Source organism: Homo sapiens, chromosome 2 (genome assembly GCF_000001405.40).
Source record: "Homo sapiens chromosome 2, GRCh38.p14 Primary Assembly".
Taxonomy (NCBI): Eukaryota; Metazoa; Chordata; class Mammalia; order Primates; family Hominidae; genus Homo; species Homo sapiens.
In genome coordinates, this window is record NC_000002.12 from 85582939 (window position 1) to 85598487 (window position 15549).

Genomic DNA, 15549 nt, shown 5'->3' on the forward strand with positions numbered 1-15549 from the left:
CCCTTGTGATATTTTTATTTTTATTTTTTCAGAGATAGGATCCCACTTTGTTGCCCAGACTGGAGTGCAGTGGTGTGATCATGGCTCACTGCAACCTCCATCTCCTGGGCTTAAGAGATCTTCCTGCTTCAGCCTCCCCTGTAGCTGGGACCACAGGTGTGTGCTACCACACCTGGCTAATTTTTGTATTTTTTGTAGAGACATGGTCTCACTGTGTTGCCCAGGCTGGTCTCAAACTCCTGGGCTCAAGCAATCCTACCACCTTGGCCTCCCAAAGTGCTGGGATTACAAGTGTGAGCCACTGTGCCCAGGCTTGGGGTAGTCTTTGCTACAACATGTTAATCCTCTCTCTCCTGGATTCAAGGTGTAAGGAACTGAAGTGAAGCTTCTGCCTTGGGACCCAGGCTGTCCAAGGTGGGGGTGAGTGTCTGTGAAACCCTCTTGGTCTGGGACTTCTGTATTCACAGAGGCTCAGCCCCAGAGAGGGAAACTTTCAATTCTGTTGGTCAAGAGAGGCCTCACTTGAGGGACCAGGCCCAGTGGCTCACACCTGTAATCCCAACACTTTGGAAACCTGAGGCAGAAGAACTGCTTGAGGCCAGGAGTTCGAGACCAGCCTGGTCAACATAGTGAGACCCTGTCTCTCTCAAAAAAAAAAAACAAACAAACAAAAAAAAAAAAACGAGGGACCTTATTTTAAGATGTCCGAGGCAGCTTGGAGTAGTGGAGAACAGGTAGCTGGTGGTTTCTCTGTAGCAGTGAGAGGACAGGATGGGTAGATTCGGCTCAGGAAGGCTCTGAAGTGGTAGTAGATACACCAGCCTCCCCCATCCTCTGACTGAGGAGCAAGTGCATGGCGGGTGCATGACAGCACAGAGCTGCACTTGCCCTCATGGTGAGGAAAGACATACAGAAAGGCTAGAGCTAGTACTTTGCCCATGTGGGGCTGCTTTCTTTTTGAATAGAGGTGAAAGTCACACAATGTACAGTTTGTTATTTTAAAGTGTACAGATCAGTGACATGTATTCAGAATGTTGTGCAACCACCACTTGTCTTTAGTTTCAAAACTTTTTGGGTGCCTGTTTTTGGTTCTGGGTGAGATGCACTCACCAGGGTGATAAAGACCCTGCCTGGCTTGTTCATGGCGTCTCCAGGACCTAGTATGGTGCCTGACCGTGGCACTCATAGGGTGTTTGTTGAGTGAATGAATGATGCCTTTTCAGCTGAACTCGAGCTAGAAGACTCCAGGGCTCACTCCACTGTGCCCATTCCACAGATCCGGCCCCGAGGTGTGCCCGTTCACCAGGCAGAGGTGTCATCCGAATTCAGGCTCCTGGGGCCCGGGAGGGTCCGACTCTACGGACCCAGGTCGCTGTGGCCCATCGCTTTCGATTTGACTTGGTTTCTGTCGCCACTCGCGGAAGGCGCGCCCCCCGCCCTCGCTCGGCGGCCCGCCCCGCCCCGCCCCTGCTCTTCCTCCGGGGCCGCTGGCACTGCGGCCGCTCCGCAGGCAGAGAAGCCGGGAGCGGGCGAGGCGGCGGCGGCAGCAGCGATGGTGAGGGCCCAGGCGGGGCCGGCCAGCCCTGCGACGGGCAGAGGGCGAGTGGCGAGGGTGGGAGAGAGGAGTCCAAAGTCCGCGGGCTGGGGCCTCCCCTGGGGCCCACGAGGGCCAGACCTGAGGCGGTGACCACTGCTGGAGCAGGACGGGGCGGACCCTCCACTCCCTGCGCGCCGCATGGGAGAGAAATGCGTGAGCCCCGTCCTGGCTGCACCGCGCAGAGCGAGCGGGACTCGGGCTCCCCATTCTCCTGAAGCAAAGCGGTTAAGAGCACCGACTTTGGAGTCGGACTCCGGGCTGGGATCCCAGCTCTGTGACCCGGGACAAGTCACTTAACCTCCCTGAGCCTCCTTTTCCGCGTCTGTGAAGTGGGGTCAGTAATACCTGCCTTGTTGGGTCCTTGCGAGGTTAAAGGAGCCACAGTGGCAGAGACCCGCCTGGCACTCAGAACCCACTGCTAAGAAGTGGTAGGAAATGTAACGACCTCGTCAGCCCTTTCCGCAGCTGTGAGGAGCCAAGCCTGGCTCAGGAGTTGGAAACTTGAGCAGATGGGGTGGCAGAGGCCATTCCAGCCCCATGGCAGGGTGTTGGAGGGCGAACTCCTCCCCTAGAGAAAGAGAAAGGGAGATGTTTACTCTGAAAGTTCCACTGAAGTTATCAGTGTATGGCACAGGCCTGACTCCCTGCTAACCTCTACCTAGTGACACATTCCTGAGTTGAGTCATCCCCACTCCTGCTGCAGATCCTGGCCTTTGTCCTCACTTGCCATCTCCAAGGCAAAGATGTCAGGAACAGCTGGTGCCAGTTTCTCCCTTTCCCTAGGGCTCCTGGGAAAATGGACTGGGCAGGAAGTAGGCTTGGTGCTTTAAGATTTTGCCTTGGAGAAACTGACAGAGGTGTGATGGATGTGGCCTGGCTAGGGGTCAATGCCTGGATGGCCTTATCTCCAGGGAACTTGGAGGCAGGAAGAGGAAGTGGGGCAGGAAGGTAGCACTGAGCTCTGAGGCCAGGCCAGGAAGCTGAGGAAGGCTCTGAGAATAGGGCAGAGCCCAGAGCCCACTTAAGGGTGTGCAGGGCAAGGGGTCAGGCAGGGGTAGGGGTGGGCTTCAGCCGGCCCTTAGCTCTTTGGGAGAAGCTCCTGAAGTGAAGGCTGAAGGCAGGATATTTTATTGGGGGAGGAGGATACTGGGAAACCTGGGGATTCTCACGGGTACATTTGAGGCAGTCTGTGGAGGAGAGGCTGGGGAGGTCGCTCCTCCACCCATCCATCTCCTAGCCTCTTCCTGTTTCTTCTTTCACTCTTGCCCCTTTAGCGCTTTCCTTCCTTCCACCCATCCCCTTTCCCTCCCTGGTCCTTCTTCCTTTCACTTTTCTTTTCTTCTCTATGACTCATTCAACCAACAAGGATTTCTTGGAAATGTCCTTCATGCCAGCATGGTGACAAGTATAGGGGACAGAGCAGGAACAAAGCAGTGATGGGAAAGATGGAAATGGAATGAATAATTACTTGAATTCATTAATCTTGTAGATGATCCTCTCTCCAAAGAATGTGTGTGTTGAGCCACAGGCCTCCCTCATATGCACACAAATTAGGTTGGTAGCATCAACCAGATTCTTTAGCCAATCAGCTAAAGTGTCTGACCTCCTTGTACCTGCATCTAATTTAGCACACGGGTTACAAATGTGGTGCCTGGAGTCTGTGTTGGTTCAACTCCCAGATCTTCTACTCACTGGCTCTGTGATCTTGGACAGGTGATTTAACACCTCTGAGCCAAAGTTTCCTATAAAACTGGGAAAAGGCCAGGCGCAGTGGCTCACACCTGTAATCCCAGCACTTTGGGAGGCCGAGGCGGGCAGATCACGAGTTCAACAGTTCAAGACCAGCCTGGCAAACATGGTGAAATCCCGTCTCTACTAAAAATATAAAAAAATAGCCGGGTGTGGTGGCACACGCCTGTAGTCCCAACTATGCGGGAGGTTGAGGCAGGAGAATCGCTTGAACCTGGGAGGCGGAGGTTGCAGTGAGCTGAGATCGCGCCATTGCACTCCAGCCTGGGTGACAGAGTAAGGCTGTCTCAGAACAAAAACAAACAAACAAACAAACAAAATAACTGGGTTAATAATATGGCCTTCAATGGGTTGTTGGGTGAGGATTAAATGAGACAGAGCAAATGAACAGCAAGCAGCATAGTGCCTACCTCAGAGTATGTGCCCATTGGATGGTGGCTGTTATTCTTGCTCAAGATGTAAAACCTCAACAGCCTGCCGTGCCAGATGAAAATAAACTAGATGCAGCCGGGCGCGGTGGCTCACGCCTGTAATCCCAGCACTTTGAGAGAGAGGCCAAGCCAGGTGGATCACGAGGTCAGGAGTTCGAGACCACCCTGGCTAACACGGTGAAACCCTGTCTCTACTAAAAATACAAAAAATTAGCTGGGCGTGGTGGCAGGCGCCTGTAGTCCCAGCTACCCTGGAGGCTGAGGCAGGAGAATGGCGTGAACCCAGGAGGCAGAGCTTGCAGTGAGTGGAGATCACGCCACTGCACTCCAGCCTGGGCGACAGAGTGAGACACCATCTCAAAAAAAAAAAGAAAGAAAATAAACTAGATGCTAGTTACCAAGTTACCAAAAGCCCATTTAAAGTTCTGAGCCACAGGTTAGAAACAATTATGTGTACTATGTGTACAAGTTTGCCATAGGGAAGAGCTTGCTTGGCTGTGCATTTTATAAAACGAAGAGGTTTTACTGACCACCTGTATTACACAATTTTTTTTTTTTTTGAGACAGAATCTCGCTCTGTCGCCCAGGCTGGAGTGCAGTGGCCCTTAGTTCACTGCAACCTCTGCCTCTCAGGTTTAAGTGATCCTCCTGCCTCAGCCTCCCGAGTAGCTGGGATTACAGGTGCCCGCCACCACGCCTGGCTAATTTTTGTATTTTTAGTAGAGACAGGGCTTCACCATATTGGCCAGACTGGTCTCAGACTCCTGACCTTGTGATCCACCTGCCTCGGCCTCCCAAAGTGCTGGGATTACAGGCGTGAGCCACCACACCTGGCCATATTGTACAATTCTTGAGATCTGACTGCTAAAAAAAAAAAAAGGAGCTAGGGAAATGTGGGCCACATCAATATAATAGCTCTTATTTATTGAGCATTTAGTATGTGTCAGGCGTTGTGCTAAGCTTTTGATTTACAATAAGTCACATAATCCTTAGCTAACATTATTATCAGCACTTTACAGAAGAGGAAGTGGAGGTCAGAAAGGTCATATCCTCAGTCTCAGTCACTCAGCTGGTGAGTGGCAGAAGCAGGATTTCAACAGACGGGTGCAAAGCAGAGCCCTGCTCCTAGTCTCTGAGCTGAGTGCCGACTTAGGGAGGCAATGTTATACCGGTACTTGCGCCCATTCATCTGACGACAGTTAGAACAGTTTCTTGGATACTAGACAGGAGATGGGGAGACAAGGAGAGTTAGGATAGGGAGGTTTTTTTGTTTTTGTTTCTTTGTTTTTTCTTGAGACAGGGTCTCACTCCTTTGCCCAGGCTGGAGTGCAGTGCGCAATCTTGGCTCACTGCAGCCTCTGCCTCCTAGGTTCAAGCAATTCTCCTGCCTCAGCCTCCCGAGTAGCTGGGACTATGGGCAGGCACCACTTTGCCTGGCTAATTTATGTATTTCTTGGTAGAGGCATGATCTGCCCACCTTGGCCTCCCAAAGTCCAGGGATTACAGGCATGAGCCACCGTGCCTGGCCCAGATGGTGTGGTTTTGAGAACTGCGTTTTCATAGGAGGAATCAAAGAGATTGAGCCCAGAAAAACCTGAGAGGTTTGAGTGTCATAGAGGGGATATTCTGTACAGGGGGCAACAGTCTGTCAAGAACATTTCCTGTGTAACTGCCACTCTCTGGCAATTACACAACTGCTCCCCTCTCGCCCTGGCTCAAAATTCCAAGCCCTGCAGGCTTCTGGCCTCAGGTCTCAGAAATGCCTGTCTCACCCTTCTTCCTTTCTCCACGCTCTGCTTGTCACCCCTCTCCCGCCTGGTGGCCATCTCCTGGCAGTCTTGCTGATGGTACTTCTCCACCCCTCTGGCTGGCCTCTCTGCCATTTTCTTACTTCTATCTGTGCCTGTCTACCACCAATAGAGAAATTATCCTGAAGCACTTCTTCACTGTCACCCGTGGCTCAAAAACCACACTAGCTCTTAAGTTTTATCAGTCGCTTGGAGCCAGTCTTCTCTACCTGACCTTTTCTGCCTTCTGTCCTGCCCCATCCCTCCCATCCTCTGCCTGGTCCTCACTGTCAGGGTGTATCCCTATCTCTCAGTGCAAGAATGTCCCTGCTCCATGTCATCCTTCAAGGGGTCACCCGCCCCCACCATGGCACCCTCTCTGTGGCAGCTCTGATACTTACTATCTGTATCGCACAGTGTAACTCTTTACTCTTCTCTAATTGTATTACATGTGTCTTTTCCCCAGGGCAAAGTGGTCTCTTTAAGAATAGGCACAATTAGGCCAGGCATGATGGCTCATGCCTATAATCCCAGCACTTTGGGAAGCTGAGGTGGGAGGACTGCTTGAGCCCAGGAGTTCAAGACCATCCTGGGCAACATAGCAAGACCCCATCTTTAAAAATATAGGCACCATTTATTCAGGAACTGTTTATCACATCTCTGCTGTCTGCAGACATTATGCTGAGTGACAGTGTGGCGTAAGGCAGTATGGCCCTTGTCCTCTTGCTTACCTCCTTCCAGGGTCCCTGGAGCTTTATTTCTCACAGTGCCAGCAGAGACCTGTGTATATAGTCAGTGTCCTTTTTCCTCTGGTTGAGTGGGGGCCAAGGAGGGCCCGAGACTTGAGTCTAAGGCCTCTGTGTTCCCTGGAGCGAATGTGTTCTTTTAGGCCTGGGTCCATCTTGGCTCCAGGCAGGCCTGGCTTCGCATTGGGGGAGACTGGTCCAGATTACAGCTGGAAGCACAGCCAGCTCTTTGGAGAATGTGACCCAAATATCACCCCTTGTTGAAAAATAAGGTAACAACAGCTGTAGCATTTAGAATAGAAAATAAAAAGATAATATCCAGCATTTTCCCAGTCTCTAGCAGTGACTCTTATTTTCGAGTATTTATCCATTCTCAAGTTTTTGCTTTGGACTATTTAATTTTGTTTTTTGTTTTGTTTTGTTTGCTGAGATGGAGTCTTGCTCTGTTGCCCAGGCTGGAGTGCAGTGGTGTGATCTCGGCTCACTGCAACCTCCGCCACCCAGGTTCAAGCGATTCTCCCATCTCAGCCTCCCAAGTAGCTGGGATTACAGGCATGCACCACCATGCCTGGCTAATTTTTGTATTTTTAGTAGAGACAGGGTTTCACCATGTTGGCCAGGCTGGTCTCGAACTCCTGGCCTCAAGTGATCTGCCTGCCTGGGGCTCCCAAAGTGCTGGGATTACAGGTGTGAGCCACTGCGCCCAGCCTGCCTTGGAGTATTTGAATGTGGGGAAGTTCAAAGGATTGAATGATGGAGCCTTGTTGAATGCTATAGTAGTAATAATAGTGATGACGGTTGACTCAGGAAAAGGTGAGAGTGCAGTTTCCCTGCTCTCTTCGTTGTTCCTCTGTGTTTCCTGCTTACTGCTTCCTCCAGCCTGTGAGCGCAGCCTCCCCTACAGTGGTTTGCCTGACCTCTCTTGAAGCAGGTTGCTTTTCTAGCTCATGGGTAAATATTGACCTATTTGGGTTTCAAATGCCTGCCCCTCGAAACTCATGCAGGGCTAGAAAAACATGCTGGGAGAACATCTCTTGAGAATAAGAATTGCTTTTGGTTAGGCTGTATCGTAATTGGCCCACTCACTGATTCCTTGCTTGCAATGGTCAGCACTGTGCTGGCCTCCCGGTGGGATGGTGGTGGACAAAGGCAGGGCACTGCTCCCTGCCCTCCCTCTGGGAGTTTGTGGTCCAGCTGGGGAGATAGGACTCATACAGTGGGAATTCTTGGAGGCTGTATACCAAGCAGCTGCAAGGATCCTGAAGGAGGATTCTTGGCTGAGTGGGAGGTAGCCCTCTGTGACCACCAGATCTCTTCTAACACTTAAGTTTTCTGGTTTTAAGTGGAATTCAGTCAAGTGCCAAAATGTCTGTTGTAGACAATGGGTGACGTGGGCTGGCAGGAAAAGAAGCTTGCCCTTCTTGTAAGGAGGGGAAGGGAACAGGGATGGGCTGTGGGGAAGTAGGCTAAGAGGAAGGAGTTTCTGTGGTTTGCTAATCCACTGGTATTCATCTCCCTGAAATGTCCCTGCTCCTAGGCTTCTGGCTTATACCAGGGCCTCCTGCCTGGTGTCTCTCTCTGTTACGTGCACCCAAAGCCCAGTGCCTTTCTTGCACATGACCCAGACTTTCTCTCTCCCCTGTCATTTCAACCTTCCCCAGCTTGGATCCAAGACCTCCCTTCCCAGTCCTCTGAAATGAGCTGGTGTTTTCTGTTAGGCAAAGCTGCCCCCCAGGCTGGGAAATCCAAGAGTTAGTCTCATCTCTGTAAGTTGGACCCCAGTGAGGACCCCAGCTGAGTGGAAGGCTGGAGGCCAAAAACCGGTACCACTGAGGTTCCCAGACGGAGAGGGAAGTTGGAGCAGTGATATAGGGAGCAGGATCAGGCCAGGAGGCAGAACTGGCCTGACCAGTCAGAGGCCCAAAGAGGAAGATCTGAGCTTCTCAGTTTGGGGATAGAGGGGTTAGGCAGAGACTATGATGTGTGCTGCTTCAAAATTACCTTTCTAGCCTGTAGGGTAGGTCTCCTCCCTGTGTGTTCCAGCCAGGTAGCTTGGTTACCCATTCTTTGCTGCCTTCTTAGGCCAGTGGGAAACCTTAGGGCAGCTGTGCATTGATTGGGTAGACGCCATTCTGGAGCAGGTGAGAAAAGAATCAGCTTTGTGGGAGGGTGGGGTCCTGGGAAGATCCCACCTTGGGACAGCTTAGAGGAAGCTGAGGTGCTGGAAGCCGGGACTTACCTAGGTCCTAGGCCCTGCCTTGACGTGCAAGGGGAGGAGCCTGTGAGACTTAAGGTGTGCCGCACTCACCCCGAAGGCCAGACCTTCACTCCGCACACATCATACCCTTACACGAAGGATGCTGTTACTCTCATGCTGTACCCACCTACAGGGGGAGAAGGAGGCTTCTAGATCTCAGGGGCAGATGAGGGCCAGGTGGGGGCCTCATGCAGCCCTGACCTCGGGCTTGGTGTCCAGGCAGGAATAGAGTTGGAGCGGTGCCAGCAGCAGGCGAACGAGGTGACGGAAATTATGCGTAACAACTTCGGCAAGGTCCTGGAGCGTGGTGTGAAGCTGGCCGAACTGCAGCAGCGTTCAGACCAACTCCTGGATATGGTGTGAGGCCTGGGGGAGCATGGAGGGGAGGGGAGAGGATTGGGAAAGTCTCTCTTGGGCTGTATTCAGGATCTCCAGTTCCTTGGTGGGGTTGAGGCCTTCTTGAGGGCCAGTGTGGGGCCTCTGGGTTTCCTCAGGCACCCATAGCCTAGACATGCAACAGATAGACCCCACAAGATAAGAAGGCCTTGGTTTGAAGCTGTGGACCTTCTTAAAGGTAGAAAACTGGTATCGTTTTTTGTTTCTTTTTTACTTTGAGACAGAGTCTCACTCTGTCGCCCAGGCTAGTACAGTGGCACAATCATATTTGCTGCAGCCTCTACCTCCCAGGCTTAAGTGATCCTCCTGCCTCAGCCTCCTGAAGAGCTAGGACTACAAGCCTGCACCACCATGCCTGTCTAATTTTTGATTTTTTGTAGAGATGAGGTCTCACCATGTTGCCCAGGCTGGTCTTGAACTCCTGGATCCAAGAGATCCTCCCACCTTGGCTTTCCAATGTGCTGGGATTACAGGCATGAGCCACTGTGTCCAGCCTGAGTACTGGCATTGTTAACTGAGGGTGAGACACTAGGGCTGAAAGTCAAGGGCCACACCGGTGTTTGAGATGAGTCAGGCTGGGAGGGTTCCACGGCAGGTGGTATAGAAAGAGAGCAGACAAGGCCGGGCGCGGTGTCTCACGCCTGTAATCCCAACACTTTGGGAGGCCGAGGTGGGCAGATCACAAGGTCAGGAGTTCAAGACTATCCTAGCCAGTATGGTGAAACCCCATCTCAACTAAAAATACAAAAATTAGCCGGGCGCAGTGGTGTGCACCTGTAGTCCCAGCTACTAGGGAGGCTGAGACAGGAGAATTGCTTGAACCCGGGAGGCAGAGGTTGCAGTGAGCTGAGATTGTGCCACTGTACTCCAGCCTGGGTGACAGGGAGAGACTCCTTCTCAAAAAAAAAAAAAAAAGAAAGAAAGTAGACAAGATGGGGAGGATGCAGGAGGAGACTAAGCCTTACTGAGATGGGGTTGGGAGGAGCTGGCTCCCAGGCCAAGAGGGTGCCAGCTAACTCCCACTTTGTGTCTGGGGGTATCCGCAGAGCTCAACCTTCAACAAGACTACACAGAACCTGGCCCAGAAGAAGTGCTGGGAGAACATCCGTTACCGGATCTGCGTGGGGCTGGTGGTGGTTGGTGTCCTGCTCATCATCCTGATTGTGCTGCTGGTCGTCTTTCTCCCTCAGAGCAGTGACAGCAGTAGTGCCCCACGGACCCAGGATGCAGGCATTGCCTCAGGGCCTGGGAACTGACCCAGCTGGTCCTGAAGGAGAAGCCAAATGGCTGCACTGGCCGATTCTGGTCTCCAGAGGACCTTGGTGTTTGCTCTCCCTTGACCCACCCCAGTGAGTGCCAAAGGGCAGCCCCAACATGTGCACCCCTGCATTTCCTGTCATGCCACAGACTGGCCCTTGAGGGCAGCCTGCTGTACTGGCCATGCTGGGCCAGCCCCACCTGGAGCTCAGTAAAAACTGCTGTTTGATTAAAAGCTGGTATCTGTGTGTGAAGGTCCCCAGGTTGGTTAATCCCATCTGTCTCTACCCCTAGGGCTGCTTAAAAAGCCCATCACCCAAAGGACTCCACCCCTGGGAGATGGCTCCTTCCTCTCCCTTCCCTACTTGATCCAGCCCGACACAGACAGGGAGTGTGGATGCAAGAACACAATGGCCCCCAAAGCAGACCCTTGAACCAGTCCTCCCCATCTGAGCCTGTTTCTCTGAGAATGAAATCTATTATTTTTCTGTCATCTTGGGGATGCTTAGAGGACCAATGAGACTGTAGATGCGATGACAAAGAAGAAAGCACTTCACCAATTTTTTTTTTTTTTTTTTGAGACAGAGTTTTTGCTCTGTTGCTCAGGCTGGAGTGCAATGGCACTATCTCAGCTCACTGCAAACTCCACCTCCTGGGTTCAAGCAATTCTCCTGCCTCAGCCTCCCAAGTAGCTGGGATTACAGGTGCCCACCATCACACCTGGCTAATTTTTGTATTTTTAGTAGAGACAAGGTTTCACCATGTTGGCCAAGCTGGTCTTGAACTCTTCACCTCAGGTGATCCACCTGCCTCGGCCTTCCGAAGTGCTAGAATTGCAGGCATGAGCCACCGCGCCTGGCCCAAAAAATTTTTCATAAGGCTCTCACCTTCAGATAAATGGTTTCCCCTCTGAACACTTCCCACTCCTCAATTTCTCTTTCCACATTCTATCTACCTCAAGCTTTACATCAGACTGCAGATGGGGGAAGTGACAGCAAGAGATGGGGACCTTAAAGCACTCCTTGGTATTCCCATCTCCCTCCCTCCCTTCCTTCCTTTTTCGACGGGGTCTCTCCTGTGTCTTCTCTCCCTCCCTCTTTCGACGGGGTCTATGTTGCCGAGGCTGGTCTCGAACTCCTGGGCTCAAGCAATTCTCTTGCCTTTAGTGCTGGGATTGCAGGCGTGAGCCACCATGTCCAGCCTGAATTCAGGCTTTTCAAAGCTACAGGGCCATATAGGCCAGGGAGGCAGTGCCTTCAGGGCCATAGCAAAGATCATTGGGCAAAGGCATGGAAGAAGGAAATAAAGCCACACCAAGACTGTGGAAACAGGGCAGCCTCTGCCTGGGCTACTTAGCTGCAGTTCAAACTCAGGTGTGAGTGGCAAGGGGAATTCAGGGTCAAGTGTGTAAAATAAGCAGTTCCTTGCTGGGTAAAGTGAGCGCTACTGACAGAAACCAGAATAAGCCTGAGTTGTGTGGAGCTTCACCCCTTACAGAGCGTGTTAGTTTTACTGAGCGCATTAGCGTCTTCCTCTCTTGGGAAAGATGGAGGAAAGCACTTGGCCCTGCAGCTGGTCTGCAACACCACTTACAGACTGCAAATTTGGGCAAGCCACTTCTGAGGTAAAAAGGGCATAATGACGCTTAGCTCCTGGGTCTATTGAGGGGATGATCGAGCGTGTAAAACATACATCAGACTAACAGTTCTAGATGCTAAATAGTACCTATCATCCAAATCATTGAGTGCAGTGGTTCTTAAACCTGCTTCACCTGCATAATTTATACAAGTGCCATTGCCCAGGCCCCACCACAGATCAGTTAAATCAGAATCTTCGAAGGTATCAGACACGGGTGTTTCTAAAGCTCCTCCGCGCCCATTCTCTCCTCTGGGAATTCATGTGTAGCCAGGAATGAAAAGGTCTTAGTACAAGCCAGCAGTTTTACAGAAGCTAGGGATAGCAACGGGCTGAAGGTAACAGTCCCATGAGCTGGTTGAGGCCCCAGGTTCTCCGGCAAAGAGATCTCTCTCAGTTGGGGAGGCTTGCCCCACCCTTTATTATTATGCCTAACACATAAGAAATGCGCAGGAATCAAACGCAAACTGGTGAACCAACTAGAGGGCCGCGGGGGCAGAAGTGTCCGGCGGGGATCCGGACAGCGCATCCGGAAGCGCCATGGGCCAACGCTCGCAGGAACCTGAACCCCTGGGCCAGCGCCGCCTTTGCTCGCAGAGGCCTCTAGCATCTGTACTGTCGAAGCCCTCTGAGCTTCAGGGCAGACTGAAGAGCCTTACACACCAGACACTTGGACGCGATCGCGCCAGAAATCCCCGGGAATTCAGTCTTGGCTCCGACTCCAAAACAAATGATTCCTCACCAGCCAGATCTCCATCATTGGCGTTAGTCTCTGGTCACCTGACTTGTTCAAGCCAATGAGAGGGGGCCGAATTAGTACTTCCGCTTTCCGTGCTGTTTAACGAGCCACTATGCCCGTCCCTCGGATACTCTGATTGGCCAGCCTCTCTCAGCTCGTCAGTTTATTGGCCAGCGCCGCTAGGCCGCTATCGAGCAGGGTCCGAGGGCTGTGTCAGAAGGCTGGGCAGCCATGGCGTCCTATTTCGATGAACACGACTGCGAGCCGTCGGACCCTGAGCAGGAGACGCGAACCAACATGCTGCTGGAGCTCGCAAGGTGGGTGCGCGGGGCTTGGGGATAGGGTCCAACCAGCAGGTTTCTGGGCTGGGGCTGGCTGGAGAAGGCGGATTACCAGGGGCAGCGGATTCTGGGGAGGACAGATGAGTAATCTGGAGTGTTAGTACGGGCGGCGAGACTGAGGGGTGTGGGGATGAGCATCTCGATAATTTGGGCCGTCCGTTGGGCCGGCCTGGGGCAAGGGGATTGCGGGAAAGATTGGAGCTGGAGAGTGGTGGGCGTGGGGGCGGAAGGACAGCAGGCTCTGGGAGGTCTCAGAGAAGGTGAGGCATGGGGGCGGGGTTGGGGCCGTGTGCTGTGAGTGGGTATATTCATCAGTAACAGCAGGCACTGCTGTTACTGGACCTGGAATCTGGCTTGGTCTTGGAATCTGGGCTCTACCAGGTTATTCAGCGTAGCCTGAGTAACTTCTCTGAATCTGTTGCCTCATGTGTAAAATGGGAATAAACACTTTACGTGCTGGGGCGGTCTGATAGCAGTTGTAAACTATTTCCCATCGTGCTTTTTATCTAGTGAGCATCTACTAACTACTAAGGGTAGCTATTATTCCTACTAGCTGGGCAGCGTGTTTATTAATGTCCAGTGGATTATGGGGACAAAGAAAAAGCATAGTTTTCCTTTGTTCTGACTTTACATCCCCTTCCCCAGGTCACTTTTCAATAGGATGGACTTTGAAGACTTGGGGTTGGTAGTAGATTGGGACCACCACCTGCCTCCACCAGCTGCCAAGACTGTGGTTGAGAACCTCCCCAGGACAGTCATCAGAGGCTCTCAGGCTGGTGAGGACACTGATTCTTTCTGCTATTTGGGCCAGACCCACCCCTTCCCCAAGCCAGACTGTGGTCTGGTCCTTCAGTTTTCCAGGTCAGGTGGGGGCAAGTGTCCTTCAGGAGTGGGAGCTTGGGAGGCAGAGCCTGTAGCAGCTCTCCTGATCAGCACTCCTTCCTAAAGAGCTCAAGTGCCCCGTGTGTCTTTTGGAATTTGAGGAGGAGGAGACTGCCATTGAGATGCCTTGCCATCACCTTTTCCATTCCAGCTGCATTCTGCCCTGGCTAAGCAAGGTACTGCTTCTCTTCTTCTAGCTCTCACCGTGCCCTGGGCCCAGTACTCAAGCTTCTTTCTGTTCATGGACTGCTGGGGGATGGAAGAAGAGTGGCAGTTGGGAGCAGGGGAGGGTGGTTATCAGCTTATGAAGATCAGACCAAGGCTAGAACACTACTCTACTTTTCTCAGACAAATTCCTGTCCCTTGTGCCGCTATGAGCTGCCCACTGATGACGACACTTATGAGGAGCACAGACGAGATAAGGTAGGGGCTGATGCTTAAGTGGAGGGGTCGTAATGGGCTCCCTGAGTCCTGTCCCCGCTGCCATCACTTCCCACCTCAGCAGGACTGGGTAGGCCTCAGAATCCCTGGCTCTGGCTGTCTTCTTAGTGACTTTGATTTGTGGTGAGAGCCTCAGCAATGCAGACGCCAGAGGCCTGAAAACAGAGCCAGCCCCATAATAGCTGCCCATCCCCTCACCCATAGGCCTTCAGTTTTGGCCCCTGCCCAGCATGCCTTCTTTCCTTCAGGCTCGAAAACAGCAGCAGCAACACCGACTGGAGAACCTCCATGGAGCCATGTACACGTGAGGAGGTTGGGGCTGAGTGCTGGCCCTCTGCGTCTTCCTTATTAACCTTGAATCCTCATTAAAGGTTTCTTTACCCACCCTGAGGCTGTATTGATCACAGACCTGGCCAGGGGCTCTGCATCCTCCATCAGGTCTCTACTTCTGTTGGGGAAGGTGATCCTAAATCGCAGAAGGCACCAGGCTGCGGTTTTCCTCCCTGCTGGCCCATCTGGACTCATGGCAGTGGTAAAGAACTGGATTACTGCAATAGCCAGGGCTTGGGCCTATGTGTTCATGGTTGGAAGGCAAAATGTGTCAGGGTCTGGTACCCAGTTAATTACTTAAAGCTGATAAACTAGGCTGGGTGCAGTGGCTCATGTCTGTAATGCCAGCAGTTTGGGAGGCCAAGACAGGTGGATCACGAGGTCAGGAGTTCGAGACCTTCCTGACCAACATGGTGAAACCCCGTTTCTACTAAAAATACAAACATTAGCTGGGCATGGTGGCACGCACCTGTAATCCCAGCTACTTGGGAGGCTGAGGCAGGAGAATTGCTTGAACCTGGGAGGCAGAAGTTGCAGTGAGCTGAGATCATGCCATTGCACTCTAGCCTGGGCAACAAGAGCAAAACTCCGTCTCAAAAAAAAAAAAAAAAAAAGCTGATAAACTAGCCTGCACCCTCCTCCCACTGCAATGTCTAGTTAACTTTGTAATCCCACAGGTTTTCTTTTTGCTCCATTGAGAAAGCCACTTTTAATATTTTAAAGTTGCTCTCTGTACCACCCCCACCTTCCCCCCATGCCTCCTAAGGAATCAAAGTTCAAACCAGACTCTGAGTGGGGGATGGGTGAGATTATCAGACCAAGTTAGTTCTTTAGATTGCTTAGAGGCCCAGAAGGGTTTCAAGCCCTTTGAAGGGGTATTTGGGTGGCACCTGGCATCCTTTGTTTCTGGCAACAGAGTGCACTCAGCACTCCTGGGGGGCAAGGGCTTCCTCCCATCCTT

General features: G+C 52.1%; 2 protein-coding genes across 3 annotated transcripts, besides 5 other annotated features; both read left to right on the forward strand.

The window, feature by feature from the left end:
• Positions 1170-2125: an enhancer, noted in NCBI's record as "H3K4me1 hESC enhancer chr2:85811231-85812186 (GRCh37/hg19 assembly coordinates)". NCBI's record gives its function as "activates a minimal SCP1, AML or CMV promoter by ChIP-STARR-seq in naive H9 embryonic stem cells {active_cell/tissue: H9 hESC(naive)}" and the evidence as "EXISTENCE:reporter gene assay evidence [ECO:0000049][PMID:30033119]".
• Positions 1415-1764: a silencer, noted in NCBI's record as "silent region_11703". NCBI's record gives its function as "represses an Ori minimal core promoter by ATAC-STARR-seq in GM12878 lymphoblastoid cells {active_cell/tissue: GM12878}" and the evidence as "EXISTENCE:reporter gene assay evidence [ECO:0000049][PMID:35858748]".
• On the forward strand, positions 1493-10468 carry VAMP5 (vesicle associated membrane protein 5). The gene is made up of 3 exons (NM_006634.3): positions 1493-1555; positions 8787-8924; positions 10010-10468. Exons 1-3 carry the CDS (start codon positions 1553-1555, stop codon positions 10217-10219), a joined length of 351 nt encoding a protein of 116 aa, NP_006625.1. The 5' UTR covers positions 1493-1552; the 3' UTR covers positions 10220-10468.
• Positions 9754-10255: an enhancer, noted in NCBI's record as "H3K4me1 hESC enhancer chr2:85819815-85820316 (GRCh37/hg19 assembly coordinates)". NCBI's record gives its function as "activates a minimal SCP1, AML or CMV promoter by ChIP-STARR-seq in naive H9 embryonic stem cells {active_cell/tissue: H9 hESC(naive)}" and the evidence as "EXISTENCE:reporter gene assay evidence [ECO:0000049][PMID:30033119]".
• Positions 10256-10755: an enhancer, noted in NCBI's record as "H3K4me1 hESC enhancer chr2:85820317-85820816 (GRCh37/hg19 assembly coordinates)". NCBI's record gives its function as "activates a minimal SCP1, AML or CMV promoter by ChIP-STARR-seq in naive H9 embryonic stem cells {active_cell/tissue: H9 hESC(naive)}" and the evidence as "EXISTENCE:reporter gene assay evidence [ECO:0000049][PMID:30033119]".
• Positions 12699-12838: a silencer, noted in NCBI's record as "silent region_11704". NCBI's record gives its function as "represses an Ori minimal core promoter by ATAC-STARR-seq in GM12878 lymphoblastoid cells {active_cell/tissue: GM12878}" and the evidence as "EXISTENCE:reporter gene assay evidence [ECO:0000049][PMID:35858748]".
• On the forward strand, positions 12807-14770 carry RNF181 (ring finger protein 181). Of its 2 annotated transcripts, NM_016494.4 has the most exons (5): positions 12807-12911; positions 13581-13711; positions 13884-13993; positions 14166-14240; positions 14507-14770. In NM_016494.4, exons 1-5 carry the CDS (start codon positions 12826-12828, stop codon positions 14564-14566), a joined length of 462 nt encoding a protein of 153 aa, NP_057578.1. In that variant the 5' UTR covers positions 12807-12825; the 3' UTR covers positions 14567-14770. The 2 variants fall into 2 exon arrangements, with proteins under 2 accessions (NP_057578.1, XP_005264416.1); XM_005264359.5 differs by lacking the exon at positions 13884-13993 and having other exon boundaries at positions 14015-14240.
• The last annotated feature ends 779 nt before the right edge of the window (positions 14771-15549 follow it).